The sequence below is a fragment of the Homo sapiens genome, chromosome 4 (assembly GCF_000001405.40).
Source record: "Homo sapiens chromosome 4, GRCh38.p14 Primary Assembly".
Classification (NCBI taxonomy): domain Eukaryota; kingdom Metazoa; phylum Chordata; class Mammalia; order Primates; family Hominidae; genus Homo; species Homo sapiens.
The window spans coordinates 146,966,100-146,975,691 of record NC_000004.12 but is presented as its reverse complement, the minus strand read 5'-3'; the positions used below and the strand labels follow the sequence as shown (position 1 = coordinate 146,975,691).

General features: G+C 39.4%; 1 long non-coding RNA gene across 3 annotated transcripts in view; it reads right to left on the bottom strand.

The window, feature by feature from the left end:
* Window positions 1-236: 236 nt before the first annotated feature.
* TTC29-AS1 (TTC29 antisense RNA 1) overlaps window positions 237-9,592 on the bottom strand; it is a 41,452-nt gene continuing 32,096 nt past the window's right edge. For all 3 annotated transcript variants that reach the window (NR_188447.1, NR_188445.1, NR_188446.1), the window contains one exon: window positions 237-537. This is a non-coding gene — a long non-coding RNA (TTC29 antisense RNA 1). The remainder of the gene's footprint in view (window positions 538-9,592) is intronic.

Here is a 9,592-nt window from a genome sequence, read left to right as displayed (position 1 = left end):
CCATCTGGTCTCAGAGATCAACCACCTGCACCATAAAGATAACAATCATGTGTTCTCCATTGCATAGAAACACACTCTTGCAACATCAGAGGAAGAGTGGCTAGAATTGGGAAGCTGCAGCATCAAACATAAGCAAGAAACCTGTATGTAGGTAGGCTGATATTTCTCAGCCAATGGGATTTTATAAGACAGAAAATTTCAAACATATTTTTAAAAGAAATAGTAGAACCAATGTATTAATATAAGTGCAAACTTTTAATTGCAAAATGAGATCGTTTAACAAACATATATGCACACCTTAATATTAACTCTCGCCATCATAAAAGGAAAGACATGTTAATGGAAAAAAAAAAGGAACAGTATAATTGCAGCAGTTCTTTAAGTGGAAGTGTTCTTATTTTTCTTTTTTACTGGGTTTGGCCCTGTGGTTGATGGCTTAGTCTTGGCTGTTGCCTCTGGAAGCCTCCTGCCTCATCCTCTTCAGTAACACGCTCAGAAGGCTTCTAGTGGTGGTTGCACAGCTACTTCTGTTCAGTCCTGGGTAGTAAACAGTAGAAACATTTAGGTTTTTTTCCTGCTTCTTGAAGTAACTGTTACAGGCCAGGTCCAGGTCAGTTCTGCCTGTGTGCAGTAAATCAATCATTGTGATATAGGTTTTGCAAAAGAGAAAAGATGTGCTCACAAGACTGACATGTGGTGGGGAAGGGAGGAGGGTGGGAAAATAGCTCTCAAATCTGCCTCCCCCGGGATAAGGCTTAGGGATCTTTATGGTTTGGGGAAGTGGGGTGATGTAAGACGTGAAAAAAGATGACTAGCAATGGGGAACAATGAGGTAACAGGTTCATTTTGGACAAGCATAGTTGGAGTTTATGGCAGTTCTTAGGACATATGTACAGAAAATGGTGGCATTAGGATGATCCAAGGAAGAGGTTTCAGCCCTCGGATAACAAAAGGCCACCTCTTGGGCACTTGCCACAGGCCAAGTTGAAGGGTCAGTGGTCTCAACCAGTTAGACTGGACAGGAGCTGGCCTAAGTTCCCTAAAAACAACGGAAGCAACCATTACTATGGTGACCTATAAATGGTATCTATAAAGTAGCCAGGGAAAGTTAAGTTTCAGCATTCAGTGGGGAGGCCTTTAGCTACCATGGCCTTCAGTTTCATGGAGAAAGGAAAAAACGTGACAAAAAAACAAGTGACCAAAAGCAAGCAGGGCAGGCAGTTCTGATCAAAATAGCCCTTTGGTTTCATAACCAATTTTTTTTTTTTTTGAGACAGATTCTCGCTCTTGTCACCCAGGCTGGAGTGCAATGTGTGCTCTCGGCTCACTGCAACCTCCACCTCCCAGGTCCAAGTGATTCTCCTGCCTCAGCCTCTCGAGTAGCTAGGATTACAGGTGTGCACCACCCCGCCCGGCTAATTTTGTATTTTTAGTAGAGACAGTGTTTTACCATTTTGGCCAGGCTAGTCTCAAACTCCTGACCTTAGGTGATCCATCTGCCTCGGCCTCCCAAAGTGCTGGGATTACAGGTGTGAGCCATCACGCCCAGCCCATATCCAAATTAAAGTCTGTGTCTTAAGTAAACACTCAAAAGTGCAAGCCACTCTTTTTGCCCCTTGTAAATCCACAGACAACAGCACCAAGAAAAGCTCTATGAAATAGAAGGATGTATGACAAACAGTGGAGAACTGAATTTTGCTCACCCACTAGCTAAATCTTTTCTTTGTAAAGGCTTCGTTGTCATTCAAACTGGTCAATAACTCCCCTTGAGTATACATATTCAAGAATAGCAAACAAAATATTTATCTGTGGTGAAATCAACAGTGCTTCTAAAAGAACATGGATGAATAGAAAAGTAAATACAAAACAACAAACATATGACTTTAACAAAAACAACACCCTCCCTCTAGGGAACTTTTTTCTTTTTTTAAAACAATCTATCTGCTCAAACAAGGACTGGGTGTAAGAGACATGATTATTAGTTAAACCATCTTAATGAAATGTACGGACCTATGTGCTCTTAGATAGATAATTCATGTGCAATTTTATTATCTCTCAATGTTTAATTAAGTATTTGCCTTTTGGCTAATCAACAGCAATTAATAAGAGATGCTTATATTTATACAACTTAAAAGAAACGTTGACATGGCCTCCACGGGAATTTCAGTGGTCTTCTCTGTGAAAGCAAGGGTAAGTAAGAGTGTGTGCCAGGCCAGAATGAGAACCTGTATATTAGCATTCTCCAGGGAAACAGAACGCACAGAATGAGTGAATACGTGTGTGTGTGTGCATGTGTGTGTGATACTGTGATTAATAGGAAATATAGATTTTGGTCTTCATCCTTGGTTCCTGACACAAAGCTCCTAAAACCATTGTCGTTTCCTGAGCAATAGGGTTGCTAAGAGAATCTTTTGTTCTAATAGTTCTAATATTTGGTGTTTGATCCTGGTTCCTGACACAGAGTTCCTAATCCCTTGGAATTTTCTGGGACACAGGAGTGTCTTTTGTTCTAGTTAGGTGACTCTTGGTGGACTCTTGGATGGGGGTTGGTCACCAGAAAGACTAAGCCATGATTATAAGCTTGGAACTTTTAGCCCTAACCCTCACCCTTATCCTCCAGGAAGGGGAGAAGGGCTGGAGATTGAGTTAATAATCTATCATGCCTCCATAATGAAGCCTTCATAAAACTCCCTAACCTGTGGGGTTTGAAGAACTTTCTTCCAGGTTGTTGAACACCTGGAGATTCCTGGAGGGTGGTGCACCCAGAGAGGGCATGGAGGCTTTGCACCCCTTCCCACATTCCTTGCCCTTTGCATCTCTTCCATCTGACTCTGCATGCTTTAGAATAAACTGGTAAACATAAGTAAAGTGTTTTTTCTGGAGTTCTGTGAGTCACTGCAGCAAGCGATCAAACCTGAGGTGGGGCCATGGGAACCCCAACTTATAGCCAGTTGATCAGAAGCTCCAGAGGACTCGATTTATGATTGGTATCTGAAGTTGGGGGAAGTTTTATGGGACTGGCCCTTAACCTATGGGATCTGTCTCTAACTCCAGGTCAGTAGTATCAGAATCGACTTGAATTATAGGACACCTGGTTGATGTCTGCTGGAGAATTGCTTGTTGGGGATATAAAAGCCCACACATTTTGGTAACAAGAAGTGTGGTGTTGAGCATATAGTAGGAGAAACCAGTTTGTCTTTTTTTCCTATACTGTGTATCATATATGCCTTCAATTGACAGGATGAGGTAACTTGCTTTACTCAGCCTACTGATTTACAATATATCACAAGGATACATTCACCCCCATATTTATTGCAGCATTATTCACAATAGCTAAGACATGGAATCAACCTAAGTGTCCATTGACAGAATAATGGATAAAGAAAACGTGGTATACACAATGGAATACTATTCAGCCTTAAGAAACAATGAAATCCTGTCATTTGTGGCAATATGGATGAGCCTGGAGGACAGTATGTTTGGTGAAATGTCAAGCACGGTAAGATGAATACTACTTATTCTCACTCATATGTCGGAGCTAAAAAGCAATCCGAGTTCATGGAAGTAGAGAGTAGAATTGTGGGTATTAGAGGCTCGAAGGATAGTGGGCAGGGAGGATGGGAAGAGGTTGTCCAACAGATACAAAATTACAGCTAGATAGGAGGAGTGAGTTCTCAGGTTCTGCAGCACTGGAAGGTAAATATGGTTAACTGAAATTTATCACATGTTTTCAAAAAGCTAAAAGAGGATTTTGAATGTTCACAGTGCAAATGATAACTGTTTGAGGTGACAGATATATGAATCCCCCTAATTTGAATCATGACATATTGTATACACCTATCAAAATATCACTCTTTATCCCATAAATATGTACAATTATTGTGTGTCATCTAAAAATAAAAGGAAAAAATCAAATTCCCAAAAATAAAAAAGAAATAAAAGCTTACATTTAAAACATCATATTGTATATATACAATATACATAAATATGTATATATAAATATATACAATTATATATGTATATATAAATATATACAATTATATATGTATATATAAATATATACAATTATATATGTATATATAAATATATACAATTATATATGTATATATAAATATATACAATTATATATGTATATATAAATATATACAATTATATATGTATATATAAATATATACAATTATATATGTATATATAAATATATACAATTATATATGTATATATAAATATATACAATTATATATGTATATATAAATATATACAATTATATATGTGTATATAAATATATACAATTATATATGTGTATATAAATATATACAATTATATATGTGTATATAAATATATATGATTATACATAAACATATACAATTATATATATACAATTTCTTGTTGATTAAAACAAAATAAAATAACTTTGCTAGCCATAGAACCAAAAATAAACAAATAAAATAAAAACCTGTATTATCTTTTTTAAAAAGACCTATTGATTTAAATGTCAATCTTATCTAAAAAACGCCTTCACAGCAATATCTAGACTGGTATTGGACCAAATATCTGGATGCCATGGCCTAGCCAAGTTGACACATAAAATTAATCATCACAACCTGAGAGGAAAAAAAAAAATCAGAATATTAACTTTTAAATAGAAGGCTTAAAACAGATGAATATTCTAAAAAGGTAAATATAATAAATATTTTATAGATAAAGTCTCCTTTTAAAGTCCCATACTTTTCTACACAGAACTAGAAGGAATTTGACTGGATTGAAAGGAATTTAGAATAATCTGTATCTTAAGAATTTCATCTTAAGATGTGTTTTGTGCAGCATCGATATGCACTTGTGCCACCTAAAACATGCACACAAAGTGTACTTTGTCACCCTGTGAAACATAAAACTGCAAGGTAAACGAAGGAGCCTGTATTAAAATTATAAAGAACCCAGGATGTCATTTGTTTCATAACTTGTCATAAAATAGATAATGATTTTTTGATCCTCAGCTTGGTGCCACCATTTCATGCAAGCAAAGTGACTATTTTTACAGTCTCAGACTTTGCAAAATTTTAAAAACATGAGAAGAGGGGAATCACAAATGACAAATAATTACCAAGGTATTTTGTACATTTGGAAAGTGGTAAATGCTTTGGGCATGTGAGAGGAAACTTTGACTAACTCTCTGCTATAAATTTATTTTGCTTTAGTTTAAACCATCTGATGCTTTATTAAAAAATAACTTGGAACAAAGAAATTCTTAAACTACAGTTCATAACAAATCATAGTTTTGGGGAAGAGGGAAAAGCCAGAACCCCATGCAGAATTTAACCAGAGTAGCTCTGATTTAGACATGAAGCTTATCAGAATTCACTTAAAGAGATGATTCTACTACTAAAGAAAGCTTAAACATCACTGTCGATGCCATTTCTTCATTTAAAGATGTTAAAATTATTTCTATGTTCATAAAATGAGCAGAGAAGTGATGCTGAGCTAGAGCCCTGGCCATCCTACTGAGAGCCTTTGCTCTGGGCAGATCGATTTGAAAAAAGGCACTCCCTCTGCATGGTGGCATCCCACTGGCTTGACCAGCAAAAGGTGCCTTTGTGTGACAAAATAAGTCACCCTTTTCTTTAAAAATTGTAGCCCTTGCTAGGGCACAAGGCAGACAAGTAAAAACAAGCTAGACCTCATCCCTCCTCATGCCTCTTCCACTTAGGAGCCTTTGTGCAAAGTCAGAAACACACAGTGGATCTTTGACCCTACACTGATGTACCCCAGGGTCCCAAATAAGGCATTTAATATGACCATATCTGCTTAGTAAAATTAAATCTATTCACTTTATCTCTTTCTGCTAATGAGTTGATATTGAGTTATATAACACTATCCTAATAGATTGACTTACAGAGATTTTTAAACAAAGAGAACTTCAATTCTCAAAAACACACAGAAATAGATTGTTTGGGGAATAACCTATTTTCTACTCTTACATTCTGCCCACCTTTCCTAAAATCTGCACCTAAAACAGATAAGAAGGAGACAGATACTCTTGCAGACATAGGAGAAGAGACATCAGAAGATTCTTCTTTGCAGGAAGAATGGGGCTGATTTTTTTCAGATATTCTTCCTTAAGGCCAGACACTTTGAGGGAGTCTCTTTCTCCTCCTCAGCCCCTCTACACATTCCTTGAGAATTAGAAAATCCCTCCTTCTCTTTGCTGGCAGGGGAAACAAGTGGAGTATAAAATGACTGATAACTTGGGGTAGAGGCTGGGTCACAATAGCAGGCAGTCACTTGGATGGGCAGGAGAAAAATGGTTTTAAAGCTCAATGGGTTAGGACCATGTAGGACTGGGAGAGCAGAGCTAGGAAAAAGAGTCCAGAGAGGCACTCAGCAGTGGCCACAGGAGGCTCTCTAACATCCCGGGGATGAGGCTGTGAGCCTGGAAAAGACAGTGGGGATAAGTTAACAAACTAAGGAAAATACTCTTGAGGCTCTTTGCCCTTTGGCATTTGTATATATTGGTGTAAATTGAATGACAACACTGCAGAAGGAACTAATTACTCCTCAGGAGTGTGTGTGTGTGTCTGTGTGGGTATGTGCATGTGCATGCATGTGCACACAAATGGGAAGGAAGATGTGTCACCCTTCCTCTCTTCTACTTAAATATACTCTGCTGTCTGTAGTTGTTCAGTGTAGAAAACAGACAAATGGAATAATGTAAGGGAACAACTCATGGGTAAGACCATTTTTATTTTCAGTTCCAACTATGTCTTTTGTGATAAGGATAATAGTACCTAAGTTTCAGATAATAAAGCTTCAGCACAGTCTGGGAGAGACTGGCAAGTCATTATATTCCAGAGAAATTATTCTACTAGATCCTGATTTACTTGAGTTCTTTGAGATTTTAGAACATGATGAAAGCTTTTGATCTGCACTAGATAAATATGTTACTATTAATACTCAGTTACATTGGGGCTGATTAGTCATTTTGTGGGTTTTCTACATCCTTTGCTTTCTCTTCTTTTCTGATTTTTGGCCATTTTATTGCTCATTAGCAACTTTACAAGAAATAAAGATGAAATAAAAGAAGATAAAACTCAAATCAATTATGTAATATTATTTCTCTCTGATTTACTGTGATTTAGCTTGGGGGAAAGTTGGACATATTGGCTGAAAAAGCAGTTTGGGGCTTATTTGTGAATTTCAATGATCTATCTTGTCTCTGAAGAGGAGATAAGATATTGTCCTTCTTGTAGTGTTTTGGAGAGAGCCCTGCCTTTGCAAGACTAAGCTGGCCTGCATTCTTCTGCTTCTTGCTATTTCTGGATAATTATTTTATCTGTATTAGTCTGTTTTCATGCTGATGATAAAGATATACCCGAGACTGGGAAGAAAAAGAGGTTTAATTGGACTTACAGTTCCACATGGCTGGGGAGACCTCAGAATCATGGTGGGAGGTGAAAGGCACTTCTTATATGGCAGTGGCAAGAGAAAATGAGGAAGATGCAAAAGCAGAAATCCCTGCTAAAACCATCAGATCTCATGAGACTTCTTTACTAGCATGATAACAGTATGGAGAATACTGCCCCCATGATTCAAAGTATCTCCCACTGGGTCTCTCCCATGGGGTCCCTCCCACAACACATGGGAATGATGGGAGTACAATTCAAGGTGAGATTTGGGTGGGAACTCAAAGCCAAACCATATTATTCCACCCCCAGCTCCTCCAAATCTCATGTCCTCACATTTCAAAACCAATCATGCCTTCCCAACAGTTCCCCAAAGTCTTAACTCATTTAAGCATAAAGTCCACAGTTCAAAGTCTCATCTGAGACAAGGCAAGTCCCTTCTGCCTATGAGCCTGTAAAATCAAAAGCAAGCTAGTGACTTCCTAGATACAATGGGGGTACAGGTATTGGGTAAATACAGCTGTTCCAAATGGGAGAAATTGGCCAAAACAAAGGGGTTATAGGGTCCATGCAAGTCCAAAATCCAGTGGGGAAGTCAAATTTCAAAGCTCCAAAATGATCTGTTTTGACTCCTGGTCTCACATCCAGGTCATGCCGATGCAAAAGTGCATTCCCATGGTCTTGGGCTGCTCCACCCCTGTGGCTTTGCAGGGTAGAGTCTCCCTCCCAGCTGCTTTCACAGGCTGGTGTTGAGTGTCTGTGGCTTTTCCAGGCACACAGTGCAAACTGTAGGTGGATCTACCATTCTGGGGTCTGGAGGATGGTGGCCCTCTTCTCACAGCTGCACTAGGTGGTGCCCCAGTAGGGACTCTGTGTGGGGTCTCCAACCTCACATTTCCCTTCTGCAGGGCCCTAGCAGAGGTTCTCCATGAGAGATGCACCCCTGCAGCAAACTTCTGCCTGGGCATACAGGCGTTTCCATACATCTTCTGAAATCTAGGCAGAGGTTCCCAAACCTCAATTCTTGACTTCTGTGCACTGGCAGGCTCAACTCTACATGGAAGCTGCTAAGGCTTGGGGCTTGCATCATCTGAAGACATGGCCCAAGTTCTACACTGGCCCCTCTAAGCCATGGCTGGAGTGGCTGGGATGCCAGGAACCAGGTTGCTAGGCTGCACACAGCTCAGGGACCCCATGCCCAGCCCACAAAACCACTTTTTCCTTCTAGGTCCCTGGGCCTGTGATGGAAAGGGCTGCTATGAAGACCTCTGACATGCCCTGGAGACATTTTCCCCATTGTCTTGGGGATTAACATTTGGCTCCTCATTACTTATGCAAATTTCTGCTGCTGGCTTGAATTTCTCCTCAGAAAATGAGATTTTCTTTTCTATTGCATTGTCAGGCTGCAAATTTCTCAAACTTTTATGCTGTTTCCCTTGTAAAACTGAATGCATTTAACAGCACCCAAGTCACCTCTTGAATGCTTTGCTGCTTAGAAATTTCTTCTGCCAGATACTCTAAATTATCTCTCTCAAGTTCAAAGTTCCACAGATCTCTAGGGCAGGGGCAAAATGCTGCCAGTGTCTCTGCTAAAACATAAAAAAAGTCACCTTTGCTCTAGTTCCCGACAAGTTCCTCATCTCCATCTGAGACTACCTTGGCCTGGACTTTATTGTCCATATCACTATCAGCATTTTGGGCAAAGCCACTCAACGAGTCTCTAGGAAGTTCCAAACTTTCCCACATTTTCCTGTCTTCCGAGCCACCTTCCAAACTGTCCCAACCTCTGCCTGTTACCCAGTTCCAAAGTTGCTTCCACATTTTTGGGTATCTTCTCAGGAACAACCCACTCTACTGGTACCAATTTACTGTATTAGTCTGTTTTTGTGCTGCTGATAAAGACATACCTGAGACTGGGAAGAAAAAGAGCTTTAATTGGACTTATAGTTGAACATGGCTGGGGAGGCCTCAGAATCATGGCGGGAGGTGAAAGGCACTTCTCACATGGCAGCAGCAAGAGAAAATGAGGAAGATGCAAAAGCAGAAACCCTTGATCAAACCATCAGGTCTCATGAGACTTATTCACTACCATAAGAACAGTATGGGGGAAACTGCCCCCCATGATTCAAATTATTTCCCACTGGGTCCCTCCAACAACACATGGGAATTATGGGAGTACAATTCAAGATGAGGTT